The sequence below is a fragment of the Homo sapiens genome, chromosome 11 (genome assembly GCF_000001405.40).
Source record: "Homo sapiens chromosome 11, GRCh38.p14 Primary Assembly".
In the NCBI taxonomy this organism is placed as follows: Eukaryota; Metazoa; Chordata; class Mammalia; order Primates; family Hominidae; genus Homo; species Homo sapiens.
In genome coordinates this window covers 117,829,853-117,852,210 of record NC_000011.10, presented here as the reverse complement: position 1 = coordinate 117,852,210, position 22,358 = coordinate 117,829,853, and the positions used below count along the sequence as shown (strand labels likewise).

Below are 22,358 nucleotides of genomic sequence, written 5' to 3'. Positions count from 1 at the left end.
GTTGTGGTCTGATAAGAGAATTGACTGGGGAAAGATCTGCCTCCAGACTCCCTCAGGTTGCTGGCAGTATTCATCTCCTTGTGGTAGAAGAACTGAGGTTCCCATCTTCTTGCTGGCTTCTGGCCAGGGGCAGCTGTCAGCTGCTAGAGGCTTCCCACAATTCCTTATCCTGTGCTTCTCTCCGTAGCCTGTCTCATGACATAGCAGCTTGCTTTTTCAAGCCAGCAAGGGAGAAAATTCTCGAGCTCCAGCCTGCAAGATTGAGTCTTATATGATATAACACCATCATCTGAGAGCTGTCCTTTTGCCACTTTTGCCACATTCTGTTGGTTAAAAGTGTGTTGCAGCTCCTGCCAGTATTCAAAGGAAAGAGATTACTCAAAGCATTGAACACTAGAAGGCTGGAATGACTGGGGATCGCCGTAGGGTCTCTTGCCATAAAGGTGAAATGAAAACATTTCCAAATAAACAGAAACAGAGTTTCTAACGAACAGATCTTCATTAAAGAAAATTTTGAAAGATGTTCTTTAGGAATAAAGAAAATGGCATGAAGGATGACTAACGTTCAAAAACAATGGTGAACAAATCAGTACATATGTTGTAAATTCATTATCTATTGCTGCATAGCAAATTACTTCCAAACTCAGCAGCCTAAAACAGCAAACGTTTGATATTTCACACAGTTTCTGAGGGTATGGAATCAGGGAGAATCTTCAGTGGGTGGTTCTGGCTCAAGGTCTTTCATGAAGCCGGAAGATCTGTTTCCAAGCTCACTTATGTGGTTCATGGCAGGCTGTATTTCTTAGCAGGCTTTTGGAGTGAGGCCACCACATGGGCCTCTCCACAGGGGTGCCTGAATATCCTTAAGACATGGCAGCTAGCTTGACTCAGAACAAGCAATCCGAGAGGGAGGGAGAGAGAGAGAGAGCACACAAGAGGCTGTGTTGCTTTTTATAACCTCATATCGAAAGTGACATACCATTACTTCTGCCATATTTTCCTGGTCATACAGACCAACCCTGGTGCAGTGTGGGAGGGGACTGTACAAGGATCTGAATACTAGGAGATACTGGGAGCTGTCTTGCAGGCTGGCTACTACACACATGGGTGAATCCAAACAAACATAGTTTTCATGAAGTACGAATATTAGTATCTATTTTATAGAATTTTAAAAAGAACTGAAATATTCTCCAATAATAGCATATGTATCAGGAAGGGGATGATTTGTATTTTTGTATTTTCAAGGAGGGTATTCTGCCTAATAACTATTATAAGTATTAACTCTGAATTTTTTTGGTCTTTTTTACATTGAATACACATGGAAAAATTACAAAGATGACCACTAAAAGATTAAAATAGTTTCTATAATTTCTAAACCAGTAGAGGGAGAAAAGGAATAAGAAAAAAAAAAATCACTAAGCTAGGGGCAGTGGCTCATGCCTATAATCCCAGCACTTTGGGAGGCCAAGGCAGGCAGATCACCTGAGCCCAGGAGTTCGAGACCAGCCTACGTAACATAGTGAGACCGCCCCCCAAAAAAATAAAAATAAAAATAACTAATCCAGAAAAAAGAAAGGGCAAGGAAAGAAAAAGAAACAAGCACATTCCCATAGGGAAAAAACAGATGGCAGAAAGCAGACCAACTACATCAATAGTCACAATAAGTAAATTAAATGGGGTAAATTTGACAATTAATACAGAAAGCCTGACAATACAGAATTTTTCAAAAATCCATCTCTTTGCTGTTTATAAGATGCACACACAACACATAAGGACACAGAAAGGTAGAGAGTAACATAGAATTTAAGACAGGGAGGATCACTACATAATTCTAAAAGACCCAACTCAGAGGACAGTAACAGTTTTAAACTATCTGTTAGAATATTCTAAGAGACATGTTATCGGCCAGCTTCAGGTCTGTTCTGCCCACACTCAGTAAATCTCAGTAAATCAATCACTGTGACACAGATTTTGCAAAAGAGAAAAGATTTATTCAGAAGACCACCAAGCAAGGAGGCCGGAGAACGGCTCTCAAATCCGCCTCCCCAAAGATAAGGCTTAGGGATATTTACTGTTAAGGGAAGTGGGGTGGTCTGAGGCATAGGGAAAGGTGATTGGCAGTGGGGAGAAATGAAATGGCAGATTCATTCTGAGCAAGCGTAGTCAGGGTTTGTGGCATTCCACAGGACATATGTACAGGAAATGGTGGCATTAGTGTGACCTGAGGGTGGAGTTTTTAGCCCTCTGATGTCAAAGGCTACCCTTCGGAGCACTTGCACATGCCCAGTTGAAGGGTGGGTGGTCTCATCCTGTTTGAACTGGACAGGAGCTAGCCCAAATTCCTGAAAAACAACTGAAGTAACCATTACCAGGGTGACCTATGAATGTTATCTGTAAAGTAACCAGTGAAGGTTAAGTTTCAGCATGCAGTGGCGAGGCCTTCAGCTACCGAGGCCTTCAGCTACCACGGCCTTCAGCTTCATGGAAAAAGGAAAAAAAATAAAATATAATAACAAAAAGCAAGCGACCAAAAGCAAGCAGTGCAGGCAGACCTGATCAGATTAACCCCTCTGTTTCAAATATGGGGATACATTTATAAATCCTTCCACTTAGTGGTAGATTTTAAAGTGCTGATCTTGATTTTTGGTAGGATAAACAGTCAAAAAAAAAAAAAGAAATTTAAACACAGTTGATAATGTTAATTTATAGGCATATAGAACTTTCTTCCCAACCATGAAGGAATTCACAATTTTCCAAGCACATATGAAATATAATTCTTTTAATAACTGACCATGTACTAGGTCATAAAGCAAGTCTCAACACGTTTCAAGGCATCTGTACATCATACAGACCATGTTTTGTGACCTTGGTGCACTTAAGTTAGAAGTCAATAACAAAAGCAAATAAAAATCACTATATATTTGGATATTTAAAACACACACTTCTTAATGCATAGGTAAAGCAAGAAATTGTAAGGAGGTTTAAAGTATACTGAGAACTAAACAACAATCCAACTATGATGGAGTACTTTCACCCCCTTACAGAAGCTTTGAAGTGTGGTTATTGATTATTGTTTAGTTCTTAGTATTATACTTTAAAAGCACTTAGAGGGAACATTGCAGTCTTAAATGCTTATATTGGAAAATAAGAAAAGCTAAATATTAATGAACTAGGTATCCAACATAACAAGATAAACATAAAAAAGAACAATAGAAGAAACCCAGAGATTGTTTAAGGGCAGAATTAAGAAAATTTTAAAACATACAATAAAAAGGATTAATGAAACCAAGAGTTGGTTTCTTCAAAAAAACTATAAGCATCGTTAAACCTCTGGTGAAACTGACCAAGAAGAAAGGGAGTTGTCACAAGTAACATTAGGAATGAAAAAAACAGGCATAACTTTATGGCAAAACATTTGAAAGCAGAAAAGGGAAAATTCCTTTAAAAATTATAACTCACTAAATTTATTAAAGAAGAAATAGATATCTGGAGAGTGCCATAACCATTAATTAATTGAATGGGCCATTTAAGATCTTCCCACAAAGAAAGTCCCAAGCCCGGATGATTTTACAGGTTAGTTCCACCAAACACTCAAAGAACAGATAATTCGAATCTTCTGCAAACTCTTCCAGGGAGCTAGCAGGAGAGTGGACACTTGTTCTGTGAGGCCAGTACTGCCATCCCCAAACCAGGCAAGGTTAATACAATAAAATAAAAACTGCAGACCAATCTCACTCATGCACATAGATGCAAAAATCCTAAACAAAATGTCAGTAAGCCAAATCCATCTGTTTATTAAAAAAAAAAAAAAAATTGGTTTCATTTCAGAAATGCAGGGATGATTTAACACTTGATAATCCATACATACAATTTACTTCATTGGTAGATTTAAGGACAAAAACCATAGAAATAGAACACTCGTTCATAATTAACATAAAACAGAAACAGCTTGGAAACCAGGATTAGAGGGGAACTTTCAAAGCATTAGAAAAACTCTATTTAAAATCAGTAGTAAGACTGTGTGTGAGTGTGCACGTGTTGTGTGCGTGTGTGTTTGCTATTGTTTTTATTCTGCATTTCACTGGAATTCCTACCCAGTACACTAGGACAAGAAATATAAATAACCACAATGAGATACCATCTCACACCAGTTAGAATGGCGATCATTAAAAAGTCAGGAAACAACAGGTGCTGGAGAGGATATGGAGAAATAGGAACATTTTACACTGTTGGTGGGACTGTAAACTAGTTCAACCTTTGTGGAAGTCAGTGTGGCAATTCCTCAGGAATCTAGAACTAGAAATACCATTTGACCCAGCCATCCCATTACTGGGTATATACCCAAAGTATTAGAAGTCATGCTGCTACAAAGACACATGCACACGTATGTTTATTGCCGCACTATTCACAATAGCAAAGTCTTGGAACCAACCCAAATATCCAACAATGATAGACTGGATTAAGAAAATGTGGCACATATATGCCATGGAATACTATGCAGCCATAAAAAATGACGAGTCCATGTCCTTTGTAGGGACATGGATGAAGCTGGAAACCATCATTCTCAGAAAACTATCATAAGGACAAAAAAACCAAACACCGCATGTTCTCACTCATAGGTGGGAATTGAACAATGAGAACACATGGACACAGGAAGGGGAACATCACACACCGGGGCCTGTTGTGGGGTGGGGGGAGGGGGAGGGATAGCATTAGGAGATATACCTAATGTTAAATGACGAGTTAATGGGTGCAGCACACCAACATGGCACATGTATACATATGTAACAAACCTGCACGTTGTGCACATGTACCCTAAAACTTAAAGAATAATAAAATAAAATAAAAACTATAATTTTCTAAAAAAAAATAGAAATAAACAGCGTGAGAATTAGAAAGAAGGAACAATATCATTTGAAGATGATATATCTACAGAGAAAACCCAAAGGCATTTCTAGGTAAGTTATTACAAATAATTCGGGAGTTTAACAAGATTATTGGATTTAAGATCAATATGTAAAGATCAGTTGCTTTTCTCTCTACCAGCAAAAATTAGAAAACACATACAAGGTGACATTGAAAGCAGCAATAAAAATGATAAGGCACTTAGGAATGAATCTAACAGAACATGTGCAACACCTGTATGAAAGCATTTATGGAACTTTATTGAAAAGGACCTAAACAAATCAAAAGATGTATTTATAGACAGGGGACTCAAGATCAGAAATATGTCATTTCTCCCCAGGTTGTTCTATAGATAGGTCCATTGCAGTTCCCATGAAAATCCTAACAGTTTTAGATGAATTTGAAAAGCTAATTCTGAAATTTGAGAGCAGAAAACCAAGAATAATGAAGACATTCCTGAAGAAAGAGGAGGAGAGGGAAGAGGAGAAAAAAAGATGGGAGCTTCTCTTACCATGTGGCAAGATTACTATGAAGCTATCATAATTGAAACACAGTAATTTTAATGCAGTACAGACAAATTGACCAAGAGACCCAAAGAGATAGCCCAGAAACTGATGCACACCAAATAGAAATCAGATATGTGACAAAGGTGGCATAGCCCATCATGAGGAAAAGGGGAGGCAGTCTGCCCCTGGAACCAGGTTACAGTACAAGTTATCATTACGGGAAAAAGTAAAACTAGACTCCTACCTCACACCATACACAAACATCAGTTTCAGATGTCAAATAGATTTAAATGTAAAAGACAAAACCTTGGGGTTTTTAGATGAAAACTCTGACCTCAGGGTGACAAAGGATGTCTTAAGACACAAAAATCACAGCATTCAAGTATGTTAGGATTAAGAAATTCTGTTCAACAGAAGACAATTTTTAAAAGTGAAAAAATAAGCCACAAACTGGAAGGAGATATTTGCTATACTTAATGACAAAGGTTTAGTATTCAGAATAAGAAATTAACAACAATAATAATGTCAACTCACTTGGAAAACGGGCAAACGGCATGAAAAACATATCACTGATGAAGAAACAGGAATGACAAATAAACACAGAGAAAAAAGTCCAGCTCTATTACAGTGTAATCACATTAAAGCCATCTTTTACCTCTAGATTGGCAAAAATGAAAATATCTGACAACAGAAAATATCCACAACAGGTTGTAGAGTAATGGGGACAGTGATATGCAGCTGGTGGGATATTATCATGGAGATGACCACTGTGGAAACAATTTTAAATCATTGTGTGAAGTGGACAGTTTGCATACTATACAACCCAATGAATGACTTCAGTCCTAGGCTCATGTCTAGAACATAACTGTTCAAACTGCCGAGTGTGACCCATTAAGGAGCCTGGAAATGTTTTTTGTAAAGAAACAGAATAAAATAGAAAAGAAACTATCTCATTCATAGTAAGTATTATTTTGTGATAATTGCTTCTGGTTACATGAATCTGTGTTATGCTGGGTTGCAATGTAAAATGTATTTCTTATGGGAGTGGTGATCAAAGAATCAAAAAACTGTTTCCTCAAAATTCTTGCATGTGTGCCCTGAGCAGTATGCACAAAAATGTCCACAACTCTATTTGTAATAGCATAAAATTGAGGGGGAAAAAGAAACAGACATCCATTGGCAGGAGACTAGAGCACTACATGATCATTTACCTGCACAATGGAATATTACACCACACTGAAAATGAATGCACTATAGCTAAATGTAGTAAGTCAGTGAACCACAGAAGCATAATGTCGGACAGAAAAAGCAAGTTTCAAAAGACTATAAACATGATATCATAATTATAAAGTTCAAAAAAGCTACACTAAGCAACATAATATTTAGATATATGTACGTGTTAAATATATTTTTAAGACAAAGAGCAAGGTGAATATCCATACAGTGGAATATTATTCAGCCATAAAGAGAAATAAAATATGCATACATGCTACAAGGTAGATGAACCCTGAAAACATTATGCTAACTTGAAAGCCAGACACAGAAGTCCATGTATTTTATTATTTCATTTATGTGAAATGTCCAGAGTGGGCAAACCCATTGAGACAAAAAGTAGATGAATGGTTTCAGGGTTGAAGGGAAGGGGAGTCGGGGGTGACTGCCGATGGATACAAGTTTCTTCTTGGGAGGATGAAATGTCTTGGAACCCGAGATTGGTGACGAATGCATAAGTTTGTAAATGTTCTAAAAATCACTGAATTGTACAGTTTAAGATGGCAAACTTCCTGATGTGTGAATTGTATATTTTAAATTGTGGAAAGAACACTTACTATGAGATCTACCCTCTTAACATATCTTGAAGTGTGCAATTCAATATTGTTAATTATGCTGTACAGTGTTATACAGCAGATCTCTAGCACTTACTCATTTTGCATAACTGAAATTTTATATCTGTTGATTGGCAGCTTTTTAGAAGAAGAGCAAGGGAATGATTAAAAATATGTATTTTCAGCCAGGCGCGGTGGCTCACGCCTGTAATTCCAGCGCTCTGGGAGGCCGAGGTGGGTGGATCACCTGAGGTCAGAAGTTTGAGCCTGACCAACATGGTGAAACCCTGTCTCTACTAAAAATACAAAAAATTAGCTGGGTGTGGTGGTGCATGCCTGTAATCCAAACTCCTTGGGAGGCAGAAGCAGGAGAATCGTTTGAACCCGGGAGGTGGAAGTTGCAGTGAGCCGAGATCGCACCATTGCATTCTAGCCTGGGCGACACAGGGAGACTCAGTCTCAAAATAAATAAATAAATAAATAAAAATAAAAATATATATTTTTGGGATACTGGCCACCTCTGGGAGAGAGGCAGGGGGATGGGGTGGAGGGAAATAGAGGTCACTGCAGCAGTCTTTGTAAAGCTCCATTTCCTAAGCTGCTGGTTTATGGGTGTTTCTATTATTACTATGCCTCATTATATGTGTATGTTACATATATTTTTATACATATAAGATACAGTGTAGCATTCAAAGGAAATACAAGTGTGAAATGAGACAGCATTGAAAGCAAATTACCACCTTTTGATAAAGGCTTTTTGAATCAAGGTTTGGGCCTTGACGTGGCTGTGGATGCAGTCGTTCTGACCCCTGGTGGCCGAGAGGTGAAGTGCAGTGGCGGCTGCTTGCTCAAGGCCGGAGGAAGGTAGTGACCGTGCTGGGGGCAATCAGGGTCTTGGACTGGACGGATGTCCAGGGGTTCAGGCCACTGCCAGTTTCACCCCACATGGAAAACAGCACCCAGCCTTGGGCTTTCCTGGTTCAGGAAAAGCCTCTCTGTCTCCTCTCTGGCTCTTAACCATGCTCCTTTAAGCCCAGGAGTGAGATGTGTGTCCTGCCATTGAAATCTATCCCTGGGTGCCACCTCTTGGCCCTGCCTCCTGCTTCCACCAGGATAGCCCACCTGGGGCCATCCACCCAGAGACCAGGACTGATGAGCTCCTGAGCAGAGACCTCCGCATCCTCTGGGGAAGCAGAGGCTGGGGTGCTGAGGCTCGTGGAACCAGCCTTCAAACTCCTTTTGTAGAATCAAACCACCTTTCTGGAGGATTCTGAACCAAAGCCTGTGGGAAGAGCTGACTTGGGGACTTTTGAGGTGGGACGTAAAGGGTACCTGAAGGAGGGCTGTCAGCGCTTCAGGGCCCAGGAAACCACAAGTCTCCTCTCCACCCAGCTGGCTAGACTAGAGGGACACTGGTTTACTGGCCCCATTTAGTCTGATATTAAGAGACATTTCTGATGGGGTATTGGCTGTCAGAATGAACTAGGGATGGCCACAGAAGGGTGGCCTGGAGAGAAGGACACAGTTGAGATCTTCAAAGTCACGTCCCAGAGGCAACGTGGTGGAGGAGTTACCATGCTGGGTTAGGATCTAGGCCCTGCTACTCACTCTGGTGCATGTCAGCCTCATTAAGCTTCAGGTTCTCGGCCTGCGTTAGTTGTAGTGCTTGCTAATTGTACTAACTCAATTGTGCCAATTGAATTAATACATGCAGAGCATTCTCTAAGAGTCCAAGAAATGTCAACTGGTGGTGGCTCACGCCTATAATCCCAGCCCTTTGGGAGGCTGAGGCAGATGGACCACTTGAGGTCAAGAGTTCGAGACCAGCCTGGCCAACATGATGAAACCCTGTCTCTACTAAAAATACAAAAAATTAGCCGGGCATGATGGCACACGCCTCTAATGCCAGCTACTCAGGAGGCTGAGGCAGAAGAATCACTTGAACCTGGGAGGCGGAGGTTGCAGTGAGCCGAGATCATGCCACTACGCTCTAGCCTGGGCAAGATAGCGAGACTCTGTCTCAAAAAAAAAAAAAGTCAACTGCTTGTGCTTAGGTTGTTTGAACCCTCACCAAGTCATGAGTGCAGAGCAAAGCTGGGGATTTGGCTTGGCCCCTGGTCAGGCTGACGCTTGGAGCTGACGGATGGAGGCTTCTTAGCCAGAGAATCATTTTTTCCTCCCTCTGTCCCCAGACGCCATGGAGTTGGTGCTGGTCTTCCTCTGCAGCCTGCTGGCCCCCATGGTCCTGGCCAGTGGTAAGTACCCCTCTGGGACCTGGCTGTGACAAGATGACAACCCTGTCCAGCCCTCTCTGCTGGAAGGTTCTGGGCCCCTTGGGACATTAGGGCTGGGGGACTCTCACGTTCTTCATGTCTAGTCAGGGGCCTCTCCCTTCAGTCAGCAGAGAAAGTCGTGGAGGTGGCAGCTATTTATTCACAGACCTCAGCACAGCCTGCCCCCTCGCCCCCTAAGGGTCCGGCAGGGAGTAGTTTTTAAGCCCCGCAAGCTCACTGCGCCTCTGTGGATTTGTGGCCTGAACCCTGGGATTCAGACCTGCACATCAGTCTCTAGACCATATTAGCAAGTGCTGGCCTCGTGCAAGTCATATGTCCTTCCTTGGTCTCGGTTTCTCCGTGTGTCACAAGAGGAAAACTGACCCTGCCTTCTGGGGATGATGTAAGAATACAAAGGGGCAATGAATGTGGGTGTTGCATGACTCAGAGCCTCACTGAGTTTCGATGCCTTCACTGACCTCGGCCCTTAGGGTTCCCCTAACCCCCTAACTGGCAGGCCCGCCCTACCGTGCACCTCTAGGCATCTCTGTTTAATGGGCCCTGCTCCTCTGGAATTCCTTTGTGGAGACTGAGGTCTGTGAGGCAAGGTTAGATATTTGGGAACCAGTTTGTGTAGCTTTCTTTCTCTTGACCAACTGTTTGTTTTTGCAGCAGCTGAAAAGGAGAAGGAAATGGACCCTTTTCATTATGGTGAGCGATGGCAACCCTGGGTGCAGGGGTCAGGGGGAATGCAGCCCTGCCTGGCAGGAGGGGTAGGGGGAACAGACACCCTCTCCCTGGCCCCTTCCTCTCTCACCCTTGGTTCCTTTGGCAGATTACCAGACCCTGAGGATTGGGGGACTGGTGTTCGCTGTGGTCCTCTTCTCGGTTGGGATCCTCCTTATCCTAAGTAAGTTTGTTCTTTTGCTCACTCTGTTAAGAGCAATGACTGAGGCTGCTAAGCAGGTGGGGACAGTGTGAGAGCCTGGTTGGTCCCTCTCCTGGAGAGGAAAGGAGGCTGCCTGCCCTCCGTGTTATCTTCACGACCCAGTAGAGTGCTGGGCACATAGTAAGTGCTCAGTAAAACAGTGACACGGGAACAAAGAAAATGTCATATGACAATGAGCATAGATAGGAACGAGCAGGGTGGCTTCCCAGTGCTGTGTCTATAGGGCATGAATGGGGCAGTCACGGAGGAAGGAGACAGGTGCTGCCCTAGTGTGCGAGGGATGTGCCTCCGAGTTTGTTGTTCCCACATGAGCCTGATCTGCACAGATCCCTCTTTACTCACATGATCAAGAGGGCTGTGGGGGTGTAGCCATTCCAGCTATAGAATGTATTTCCTTTGCCCCAGAAGAAGCTACCCCATCCGAGGGCCACTGTGTGCAGCTGTGCAAACTGTGCACTGCCCAGGTCTAGGGGGTGCCATTTACATAGTCCCACAACCTGCACAGACCCTTGGCCCTGCTGTGGCCAAGCCAGCAGCATGACCTTGGATGGTTTCTTTGCTTTTCAGGTCGCAGGTGCAAGTGCAGTTTCAATCAGAAGCCCCGGTAAGGATGCCGTGGCAGTGGCCTTGGGGGGGTGATACTAGGTGGGACAGGAAGGGACCCCTGGTGTGTGACCCCCAAATGGGCATTCTCTTGGATTCTTGTCTCGGAGGCAGAACGTGTGTGTTGGGACGTAGGGCTGGAAGTTTGAGGACTGCCAGGTAGACTCTGGGGCAAAGGAGAGGTCAAAACATTGAAGGTCAGCCCATCCTGTCTCTTCTGATCTATGTGGGGGACGGGGAGTGGACAAGAAAGTACTGGAACCTTTTCTGGAGGCCCTTGGGACAGTTGAGCTTGGGAGAAGGGAAGCAGAGGGCTTCCTGGCCTCTCTAGATGCCCAGGTCCTCTCTACAGGACCTGCGACACAGTCCCCACTTGTCACCTGTTCATGAGGCTCTTTGAGCTGAATAGACACTTGGACCTTCTTTCTACTCCCACATAGAGGTCATACCCCATTAGTTTACTATAATAGCCAAGGGTAGCTTGGACCCCAGAAGTCCAAAGCGTGTGGCAGGACACACCCAAGCCCCCATGTGGCCCTAGCCTCCCCTTCCCATGAGGGCTGACATTGAAGGGTGCCTGTAAGTTCCCTCTGAGTCTGACCCTTCAGTCCAGACCTTTCCCTCTGTCCCATGCATCCCACAGCAGAGTGAGCTCCAGCCCCTCAGGGCACTGGGAGGAGCCTGACTGCAGGCAGCTGTGCCCCAGTGAGGAGCAGAACGATGCTCTCTGGGTCTGCCCTGGAGATCTCTGATGGGGCTGTGTGTCTCTTTCTCCTGCAGGGCCCCAGGAGATGAGGAAGCCCAGGTGGAGAACCTCATCACCGCCAATGGTAACTGTCCGTGACCACCTGCCCAGGTGGAAAAGAGGGAACAGAGAGACCCCTCTGTGGCTCAGGAAGGGACTGTTGCCAGGTGCATGGCCAGCCAGACATGCTCCCGCAGTGCCAGGAGAGTGGGTCTCCAGGGCCTCTGCAGCATTGCCCCCTCACTCCACCAAACAGGCTACTACTAGTGTCACCTGCTATTTACAGAGCATCTGCTTGTGCCAGGCACAGACCCCATATCATTTAATGGGCACACAGCCCTGAAATAGGCATCATTGTCCCCATTTTGTAACCGAGGGACTGAGAGAGGTTACCAGGTTCCTGTAAGCAGCAAGTAGCAGGGCCAGGATTGAACCCAGATCGTTCTGACTCGAAATCCCATGCCCGTCACCTCTTTGCTCCCCCAGAGTCAGGCAGAGACACGGCTGCTGTTGGGGGTGGCCCACGGGGGTGAGGAGTCTATACACTATAATCCATTCTGGTTTTCTTTCCAGCAACAGAGCCCCAGAAAGCAGAGAACTGAAGTGCAGCCATCAGGTGGAAGGTGAGATGCTCAGTGCCTGGATTGGCCCCTGTTGCCATCACCGTCTGCATCAGGGCCTGGACAGGGGTTCAGGCGGGAAGGATGGGGCTAGCTTTTGCAGTGGGCACAGCTTTTATTATGGGCCCTGCCCTGAGGAGCCTTCAGGAGTCTGAAAGGGGCTGTGAGAGAGACCAGGACTAGAAACACCCGAAGTGTCCCACACACATGCATGCCAACACCAGGAAATGGGGCTTCCACACAGCCCACTGGCCGAGTGCATAGGGCGTCATCCCAAGTGCAACATGGGAGAATTAGAGTTAGTGAAATGCTCCTAATCTCAAAGTAGCATAAAGATAATGGCTTTCCGTGGTGACTCAGAAAGTACTTTAGGGCCACTTGTTTTTTTAAACACCTTATTATGAAACTTCCCAACCCTAACCAAAAGTAGAGCAAATAGTATATGATCCTTCCCTCTCCACATTTAAGGGCACTGATTTTAGTATCTATTTCCATTGTTCATCGTAGGGGGCACAGGAGAGTAGTAACTGGCAAATGCTGTACAGTTTTCAGAGTGCCACCACACACACAGACTCACTCGAGTCTGCCAGAAAAAGAGGATGGGACAGGTGGGGTTTAGCCCATTTTATAGGTGAAACCAAGATGAGAGGGAATAGCCCCGTGGAGAGTGACAGCCCGGACTGTGAACTCAGGCCTTTGCGGCTGTGGTTCAGCGCCACTGCTCCCCTCTGTCCTGTGCGTCTCGCTTTATGACATGCCCTGGAATATCCTAAGGGAAAAGGTTTGTGTTTTGTCAGCTCACTTCTGCCTTTTTTTCCCCCCATACAAGTAAGGCATTATAGAAAGGTATATAAGTTTATCTCACATTGTAAGGTAAAAGAGGTTTCTGGATGATGAAGTGCCCGATGCACCAGCTTTGACTGTGCGTAACAATATCGTGTGCCTGTGTAGCATTTAAATTCTTTCCTAAGTGCTTTTGCATCCTCATAGCGGCCCGTGATGGGCAGAGCAGGGCTCATTACTCCCGTCTTCTGGATGGGGCTCTCGAAGGCAAGTGATCACCTAAGTGCGAATGGACGAAGATTCCGATCTAGGAGGCAGGTGCCCTTCCTGGTAGCTTGGTGTTCTGTCTATTTCATCACAGACTGAGAATCTGGGAAGGCTCAGAGGAGGCAGCCTGGAAATGAAATGTCTTTTCATTTTTTTTTTCCCAAACTAGTTCTTTCTCAGAAACCTTTTATCCTAAGGCTCAGGACTGTGAGCAACCACTGGGGAGGTCCTGGGTTTAACAATTTCCTTTCCATGTCTGCCAGGCTCCAGCCCACCTGGGAGAGGCTTCTTCTGAGGTTCACCCCTCCCCTGTGTCTTTGTCTCCTTTCTCTGCGTCTCAGACGAGGCTGTCATACCGGGAATTTCAGTGGGCAGGTGCTCAAGGAAGGGAGAGAAGCAGATAAGGATACCAGAGGCAGCCGAAGTGTTTTTAATTTAAATTATCCTCCTCCTCAGCCTCTGGAACCTGAGGCGGCTGCTTGAACCTTTGGATGCAAATGTCGATGCTTAAGAAAACCGGCCACTTCAGCAACAGCCCTTTCCCCAGGAGAAGCCAAGAACTTGTGTGTCCCCCACCCTATCCCCTCTAACACCATTCCTCCACCTGATGATGCAACTAACACTTGCCTCCCCACTGCAGCCTGCGGTCCTGCCCACCTCCCGTGATGTGTGTGTGTGTGTGTGTGTGTGTGACTGTGTGTGTTTGCTAACTGTGGTCTTTGTGGCTACTTGTTTGTGGATGGTATTGTGTTTGTTAGTGAACTGTGGACTCGCTTTCCCAGGCAGGGGCTGAGCCACATGGCCATCTGCTCCTCCCTGCCCCCGTGGCCCTCCATCACCTTCTGCTCCTAGGAGGCTGCTTGTTGCCCGAGACCAGCCCCCTCCCCTGATTTAGGGATGCGTAGGGTAAGAGCACGGGCAGTGGTCTTCAGTCGTCTTGGGACCTGGGAAGGTTTGCAGCACTTTGTCATCATTCTTCATGGACTCCTTTCACTCCTTTAACAAAAACCTTGCTTCCTTATCCCACCTGATCCCAGTCTGAAGGTCTCTTAGCAACTGGAGATACAAAGCAAGGAGCTGGTGAGCCCAGCGTTGACGTCAGGCAGGCTATGCCCTTCCGTGGTTAATTTCTTCCCAGGGGCTTCCACGAGGAGTCCCCATCTGCCCCGCCCCTTCACAGAGCGCCCGGGGATTCCAGGCCCAGGGCTTCTACTCTGCCCCTGGGGAATGTGTCCCCTGCATATCTTCTCAGCAATAACTCCATGGGCTCTGGGACCCTACCCCTTCCAACCTTCCCTGCTTCTGAGACTTCAATCTACAGCCCAGCTCATCCAGATGCAGACTACAGTCCCTGCAATTGGGTCTCTGGCAGGCAATAGTTGAAGGACTCCTGTTCCGTTGGGGCCAGCACACCGGGATGGATGGAGGGAGAGCAGAGGCCTTTGCTTCTCTGCCTACGTCCCCTTAGATGGGCAGCAGAGGCAACTCCCGCATCCTTTGCTCTGCCTGTCAGTGGTCAGAGCGGTGAGCGAGGTGGGTTGGAGACTCAGCAGGCTCCGTGCAGCCCTTGGGAACAGTGAGAGGTTGAAGGTCATAACGAGAGTGGGAACTCAACCCAGATCCCGCCCCTCCTGTCCTCTGTGTTCCCGCGGAAACCAACCAAACCGTGCGCTGTGACCCATTGCTGTTCTCTGTATCGTGATCTATCCTCAACAACAACAGAAAAAAGGAATAAAATATCCTTTGTTTCCTAGTGGCTCGGAGGTGCTTTCCTTTCTGTGAAAGAACTTGAGTGTTTGTAGGGTCTGTGGAACTTAAAGGGCTAGAGGGAGTCCGTCCATGGTCAGAGGGAAGAGGAAGGACTGGATAGCCACCCAGGCAGGCACAGAGCCCCGTCAGCTGCTGTCACTGTTGCCTCCTCCCCGCTTCTCTTCCCTCCTTTCCTTTTCTTCCTTCACTTTCCTCTCCTCCTGCTCAGCCCTTCGTCCCGCACCTTCCCGCCATTTCTATTCCTCCCTCCCTCTCTCCCGCCTTCCCAGGCCACTGGGCTCAAGCCACATCCCATAGCAGGACCTGTACATTGCACACTGTCTTGGAGCAAAAAAGGGAGTCACAATGGCTTCTCCAAGTACTCAGTGGCCTGGAGTAAAACATCCTAACATTTCTCTTTGGTCAGTTCTGGGGCCACTACCTAAGGACTTGTAAAGAGAGCCAGGGGTGGTGACTCATACCTGTAATTCCAGCAACTTGGGAGCCTAAAGCAGGAGAATTGCTTGAGGCCAGGAGTTCAAGACCAGCTGGGCAACATGGTGAAATCTTAGCTGGGCATGGTGGCTCGCACCTGTTGTCACAGCTACTCGGCAGGCTGAGGCAGGAGGATTGCTTGAACCCTGGAGTTCCAGGTTGCAGTGAACCGTGATTGCACCACTGCACTCCAGCCTGGGCAACAGAATGAGACCTTGTCTCTAAAAAGAAAAAAGGAAGGAAGGGATCAAGGGAGTGACAGGGTGGGTGACGTGGATTGTGAAATACCCCTCCTCTGTGGAGCCTCCCTGGGCATTAGGTAGAATCGAATCCCTTTTTTTTTTTTTTTTTTTTTTTGAGATGGAGTTTTGCTCTTGTCGCCCAGGCTGGAGTGCAGTGGCGTTATCTTGGCCCACTGCAACCTCTGCCTTCTGAGTTCAAGCGATTCTCCTGCCTCAGCCTCCTGAGCAGCTGAGATTACAGGTGCCTTCCACCATACCCGGCTAATTTTTATATTTTTAGTAGAGACGGGATTTCTTCATGTTGTCCAAGCTGGTCTCGAACTTTTGGCCTCAAGTGATCTGCCTGCCTCAGCCTCCCAAATTGTTGGGATTAGAGGCGTGAGCCACAGCGCCCAGCCGAATCCCTTTCTTGTGCCCCAATCACACTTGTTTGCTGCCTTTATATTCACACTTCATACTTGGCATCCAGACTGTAGAGACCAGGCAGGTAATGCCAATATGTGAATCTGCTGGAGTGACGATGGGGCATGGCACCTGCAGTCACCTACGGTGTCCTCCCAAAGACACTCTGACTCAACTTTCTAAAAACCACTGTTGGCCAAACCAACACAGATGTGGGCAGATTCTGCGTGGAGGTTGCCTGTGTGCAGCTTCTGCCTCTAGTGTTTTGTGTCTTTATTGATACAATTCCTGGAGGGCAAGGACTGTGCCTGCTCTACAGAAGCCTGGAACATCTTAGGGTCTTGAAAAAAGAATCGACCCCTGGAACGTCTTAATATCTTCCATCTTGAAGCCAGCACTTAAGGAGCGGGACCCTCTGGGCCCACCTCCTTCCAGCCCCAACTTCTAAGACCCCAGTGAACCTGGCACCTGAAGCTATAGCAGGAGACAGAAGTCAGTGCTCCTTGTGGTTTCGATGGGCCTGGGAACCACCACCTTCCCTGCCCAGTGGCCACACAGGCCCTGAGTCCGCCTGGATTCCGCAAGTTGTTTAGAACCGAAGAACCGCACAGATCCGCTTGCTCGGTGCCTTCTCTACGTGTGCTCTTGCTTCTGCCTTCGGTCCCCCAGGCCTTTGGAAAGACACAGGCTTATGGTAGAGCTCAAGCTCAACCTGTCAACCCAGTGATCATGGCGATTAAAAACTATCTGGTCACAGCAAGACCTGGTAAATGAGCTTATTGTTCGGGAACACTCGTGATACATCAGGGAATTGACAGGCCTTGCAGAAATTTCATAGCGAGGCCAGGCTGAGATCCCTAGAGGCCCTAGACATGCAAAGCTTTGTGTGTGCCGCCCCCCATACGTTAGTAAAAACAGAACATTATACTTCGACATAGGAATAAGGAAGTCCAATGAGGAGGTTCTAATTTTTCTCATAATAATTATGTTAAGAGTAAGGAATGATGGTCAGCATCTCTAGCACATCATCTACAAATGGTTATCCTTACTTTGCCCGCCTCTAAGCACTCACTTAGTTTTCCTCCTAGTAATCCAGCTATATTCTGAGATTGGTCAGAGATACAATCGTCCTGGTCCAGGTTACACAGCTGGGGGATGGAGGAGCTAGGACTTGACCCCGGGCTGTCTGTCCATAGTGCTTGTCAGCACATGGCCTAGCCTCCTTCAGCAGGCAGATGCTCAGAAGAAGGGACAGTGATCAGATGGCTCCCAAGACTGCACCTGGAGCATGGCTGCCCCTTCAAGACATAAACTAGCTGGACCATGCTCCAAGGAGCCTCCTGTGGGAGTCTAATGGTCTGGAAACAAGACACATGAAGAACAATCGAAGAAATGATGGTCAAAATGGTAATAATTAAAAAAAATGAGCAGCTGAAGTTTATGGAGCACTTACTATGTGCTTGTTTGAGGACTTCACACAGATGAGCTGGATCAGAACTCAGAGTGCTATATATCTCCATGAGGAGGACCAGGAGTGTCCACTCAGCCTCCAGGCATGTGGCACTGGTTTGTAGCTGTGATTTGGTTTAATGAGGCAATGTAGCTTGACTGAATAAGAAGGACAGCTGCCATGCTGTGTCATTTCCCAGAAGGGAATCCCAAGTTCCCTGTCTCAGTAACCTCAGGTGTCCCACACCTTTTGCCTCCCAGTGACTCCCTCCACCCCCCATTCCATTTCGAAGATCTCCATGTCTCTTTGCCTGGAGGTTTTCTGCGTTACTTACCCCTGCTGTAGGAATAGGTCAGTCTGCCTTCTGGGACCCCAGGTGCTGTGGCCCTCCTACCTCTCTGTTTTTTGTTTTTTGTTTTTTTTTTGCAAGATGTAGATTAGAACTTGCCAAATTGTTCTTGGAAGAGAGTCAGAGGCAGAGTACAAGCTGTAGGGAGCGGTGTGAGGGGAGTGCCAGGCGAAGCACACTCCAAGGTCACCGGGCTGTTGGCCCCTTCCTCTGGGAGGAGGGCCTTACCTTGCTTGGAATCATGGGCTTGGCGGGGAGGCTGGGCAAAGCAGGGGTGGGAGAGCACTCCAGCTCTGTCTGGTTCACCCCACCTTGTTCCTGGCTGCTCTGCCTCACCCTGGGCCCAGCGAGAGAAAGGTCAGGTGTGTTTGCCTGAGCCAGGGGAGGAGCTTTGGAAAAACCTGTCTCCAGGCCACAGAGAAGGAATGGCCACCTCTCTCCATTAGTGTGATTTATTGCTGTCACAGCTGAGCTCCAGGGGGGCAGACTCAGCCGGCTCAAGCCAACCAGCTGTTGATCTGATGGGGCCAGCCCAGCCCCGGGCCTGGTTGCACAACAGTGGGGCACCTGCCAAGGCAATGATGGCAGAGCAGGTGATGCTGTGATCGCATGTCCTGAAGGACCTGGATGGCAGGGACTGGAGGGGGTGGGCCCCCCTGCACTATCCAGAAGAACGGTTTCCTACCTCTGAGCTGGGCTTGGAGGCAGTCTGGTAGAGCCTGAGGCTCAGAACATCCCCGAGGTCCCTTCTGCTCTAACAGTGTGAGCTTGGAAAGACCCCAGCCTCTCTGTCAGTTTCCTTTTCTGAATAATCAAGTCCTTCCTAGCTTTGGGGTAAGCTGGGCCTCCTGCTCACTGTGTAACCCTGGAAAAGCCACTTAAGCCTCAGTTTCATCACCTATAAAATAAATGCATCAAGATGTTTTCTGTTATCTCACAGGGTCAAAGTGATACAATGGACATCGAAGCACCGTGACAATTCTCCATGTAGCCATTATGCTATAAATGTTGGCATCACTATCCATTTCCTTGTCTCCTCATTCTCTGATGGCCGGGTTCCTCTTGTCTCTGTTAGACTTGGGTTCATGTTCTGACCTGTTTGCAGACCACCTGCAGTGTCCTCTGTAAAATGGGCATCTCACAGCCTGCCTGGCTGAATTGTTGGGAGGCTCTAAGCAGCTCTTTGGAACCACTGAGACCCTGGAATAGGGTGGAATTGCTGCCAAGTGTGGAGAGTGGGCACCAGGCTCAGTGCAGGTACAAACGTTTAACAGCTTACCCGACCTGAGGCCTCAAGGAGGCCAGGGACTTGGCAATCTGTGCTATAAATGAAGAGAATGGTGACACGGCCACATGCTGGCCATTCAAGCCATGTCAGTGGCATCCGGAAGGTGGTGGAGGGAAGGTAAGAGTAACCAGGGGTGGGCTTGCTCCGCGAGGTCTTCCCGGAGGTGGCGAGCCTCTCCCAGAGGTGAGAGGGAGTTTGGTTACTGGGAGGAGAAAACCAAGAAAAGCTGGAGAGGAATGGGCTCTGTTGTGGTTCAAGCCTGGATGTGAGTTCTGAGAACAGTCAAGAATGCATTTCTCTCCAAGGCATTCACTGTGGGGGAGGTGGGTCAAATGGGTTTGCCCTTGTCACCAGCTGGTGACCTTGACTCTCAGAGTACATTGCCCTTTGGCAGTTCTCAGAACCTCTGTGCACCATGGCTCAGGCCTTCTTGAAGCCAACACTTAAGGAATGGACCCTCTGGGGCCCACCTCCTTCCAGCCCTGCCTTATAAGACCCCAGGGACCTGGCACCTGCAACCATAGCAGGAGGCAGGAGCCAGCGTTCCTCAGGATTCAGGACCTCTGAGTGGGACAAATGGGGCTTGGGAACTGCCACTTTCCCTGCCCAGTGGCCATACGGGTTATGCAGCTGAGGACTGACTTGGGCCTGGGGTCATGGCTTTCTAGGTGCTTCTGGCTTCTGCTTCATTGGAGCCCCTTTCCAGCTGCAAGCCAACACCAGGAGGAACTGATCTGGGGACCTGGAGTTCAAGGCTGTAAACTCCCACAAAGGCCAGAGCTGGCGGAGCTGGAGAACCCCATTCTGGGAAGCTGGTGGTGAGGGCCTCTGCCTTTGATCACCAGGAAAACAGAGGTCAGCTGGATTCCAGCCTATTTCCTCCCTGCCCCACCAACCCAGCAACGACCACCCCAAATGACTGCCCTGAGACTTAGGAGTCAGGAGACAAAAGGGAGGCCTGCCTAGGGGAGACAGGGGAGATGGAGGCCTCGCCACTGAGGGCACGGTCCCATCAGCTGTGACAGTGCTGACGCATCCAGGAGTGGGCACTGCCTCTACCTCCCAACATCTCCCAGAGCTCTGGGTCTTGCAGAGAACAGGAGAGCACAGCTGGATGCTCCTTTGTCTCCATCCTGGAACCATTAGACAAAGGAGGTTTCTTGGTTTTGTGTGGAGAAGAAAGGGAGGCTGGAGATGCAGGGTGAGTTGTGGCCAGCAGGATCATACCAGGGCAGGGTGCTCCCAGAGGCCTGCTTTAGAGATCACCGCAACTGGGGACTGAGCCAAGGGAAGGGATTGCTGTGAGTGTTCTTGTCTCCTGGGGGGCTCAGTTCGGAGTAAGGAAAACACAGCCATCAGTTTTTAGGACCTTCTCTGGCCAAACGCTTGACCTACCTTGCCTCTGTTCCCACAACAATACTGCAAGGTAGGTGTTATTACCCTATTTTACAGGTGGGAGGAGACCCAGAGGGGTGCCCTTGCCCAGGGTCAGGCAGTCCTCAGCAAAGTCTCAGGATGAAAGGGGATTTATGCATGGGTGTGTCTGGCCCTCAGGGTGCCTTGCGTGGTGTCTAGGAGGAGAGACCCTCCTGAACTGAGCTGCTCTCAGGAACATGGGCCACAGGTGGAAGGGCCGCAACCTCTCTGCAGGAGAGCAGGTGTCTCAGAGAGGGGTTCCCTGTCCCCAGTGCTAGCTAGGACCCATGACCTGAGCTAGCTGGGGGAGGACAGGAAGGAAGTCTGAGAAGGACTTAAACATGAGTGAAGCGAGAGGGGTGGGACCTGCTTGACTTAACAAATGCCTGGGCTTCCCCCAAAGAACAAACAGGACAATTTCTGAAAATTGCTGCTGGGCTGGAGAAGGAAGGGGAGGTTAGGGGAGTGGGGGGATGGGGTGCAAGAGGAGGGAGAGAGAACCCCGAGAGGGACTCTGGGGGAGCTGTCAGCAAGGTGAGGGTTGCTGCCTCTGTGAGGGCAAATCGGGTCTTGTGACTCCTCACAGGGCAGGCGACAGCATGGAAGGAGGCTGCCTGAGGCAAGTCCTAGGTCTGCCTGCAGCATGGGAGAAGTGATTTCCCCTCTATCCTGTCCCCATCTTTGCCTGATTTTTGCCTGGGACTGATTCATTCATTTAATAAAACTGGGTCCCACGATGCACTGTTCCAGGCATGGGGGAATGAACAAACAAACAAAAATCCTTGCTCTCCTGGTGCTTACATTTTAGTTGGGAGAGGGACAAACAAGATAAGGGAAATACATACCTTAGTTAAGAACAAGTGCCACAGAGGAAAAGCCAGGCTGAGGCAGTGGGTGTGAACATTTTATACAGGGATGTCCAGAATCAGGGCTTTGAAGAAAGCCCTGAAGGCAGCGTGTACCGAGCAGGAAGCCCTGTGGAGGCTGAGCATTTAGGAAGCGGGAACAGCCGGTGCGGAGGTCCTGGAGGGTGAGGGGTGTCAAGAAGGCCAGCATGGCTGGAGCAGAAAGCAGGGCGGGGAGGTGGGGGACCAGCTCACAGGTGCCTAGAGCCAGAATGAGAAGGGCTTCTTGGCTGGGTGCGGTGGCTCGCGCCTGTAATCCCAGCAGTTCGGGAGGCCAAGGCGGGCGGATCACCTAAGGTCAGGAGTTTGAGACCAGCCAACATGGCGAAACCCGGTCTCTACTAAAAATACAAAAATACAAAAATTACTGGGTGTGGTGGCGGCTCCTGTAATCCCAGCTGCTTGGGAGGCTTAGTCAGAATAATCGCTTGAACCCAGGAGGCAGAGGTTGCAGTGAACTGAGATCGCGCCATTGCACTCCAGCCTGGGCAACAAGAGCAAAACTCCATCTCAAAAAAAAAAAGGGGCTTCTTTTTTGGACACACAAAGATTTTGCGTATCATCCGAGCCCTCTCTGAGGATTTT

The 22,358-nt window shown here is 47.7% G+C and overlaps 2 protein-coding genes and 1 long non-coding RNA gene across 8 annotated transcripts in view, besides 1 other annotated feature; 2 read left to right on the top strand and 1 right to left on the bottom strand.

The window, feature by feature from the left end:
• FXYD6 (FXYD domain containing ion transport regulator 6) overlaps window positions 1-15,230 on the top strand; it is a 40,450-nt gene extending 25,220 nt beyond the window's left edge. For 3 of the 5 annotated variants that reach the window (NM_001164831.3, NM_022003.4, NM_001164837.3), the window contains 7 exons: window positions 9,430-9,492; window positions 10,183-10,221; window positions 10,346-10,420; window positions 11,027-11,063; window positions 11,843-11,892; window positions 12,381-12,430; window positions 13,934-15,230. In NM_001164831.3, the coding sequence (NP_001158303.1) occupies window positions 9,435-9,492; window positions 10,183-10,221; window positions 10,346-10,420; window positions 11,027-11,063; window positions 11,843-11,892; window positions 12,381-12,409 (288 nt within the window). In that variant the 5' untranslated portion in view covers window positions 9,430-9,434 and the 3' untranslated portion in view covers window positions 12,410-12,430; window positions 13,934-15,230. Of the gene's footprint in view, window positions 1-8,004; window positions 8,102-9,429; window positions 9,493-10,182; window positions 10,222-10,345; window positions 10,421-11,026; window positions 11,064-11,842; window positions 11,893-12,380; window positions 12,431-13,933 lie in introns of all 5 variants that reach the window. The other 2 variants (NM_001164832.3, NM_001164836.3) reach the window with 1 other exon arrangement.
• FXYD6-FXYD2 (FXYD6-FXYD2 readthrough) overlaps window positions 1-22,358 on the top strand; it is a 56,602-nt gene that overhangs the window by 24,448 nt on the left and 9,796 nt on the right. The window contains exons 2-6 of one of the 2 annotated variants that reach the window (NM_001243598.4): window positions 9,430-9,492; window positions 10,183-10,221; window positions 10,346-10,420; window positions 11,843-11,892; window positions 12,381-12,430. In NM_001243598.4, the coding sequence (NP_001230527.1) occupies window positions 9,435-9,492; window positions 10,183-10,221; window positions 10,346-10,420; window positions 11,843-11,892; window positions 12,381-12,430 (272 nt within the window). In that variant the 5' untranslated portion in view covers window positions 9,430-9,434. Of the gene's footprint in view, window positions 1-9,429; window positions 9,493-10,182; window positions 10,222-10,345; window positions 10,421-11,026; window positions 11,064-11,842; window positions 11,893-12,380; window positions 12,431-22,358 lie in introns of both variants that reach the window. The other variant, NM_001204268.3, reaches the window with a different exon arrangement.
• Window positions 9,300-10,499: an enhancer, noted in NCBI's record as "MED14-independent group 3 enhancer chr11:117712427-117713626 (GRCh37/hg19 assembly coordinates)". NCBI's record gives its function as "activates an origin of replication core promoter dependent on BRD2, BRD4, P300/CBP and CDK7 cofactors, and independent of MED14, by STARR-seq in HCT116 cells {active_cell/tissue: HCT116}" and the evidence as "EXISTENCE:reporter gene assay evidence [ECO:0000049][PMID:35650434]".
• On the bottom strand, window positions 13,892-18,493 carry FXYD6-AS1 (FXYD6 antisense RNA 1). The gene is made up of 3 exons (NR_186291.1): window positions 18,150-18,493; window positions 15,709-15,942; window positions 13,892-15,043 (listed from the first exon to the last, which is right to left on the bottom strand). It is a non-coding gene; the product is annotated as an FXYD6 antisense RNA 1 (long non-coding RNA).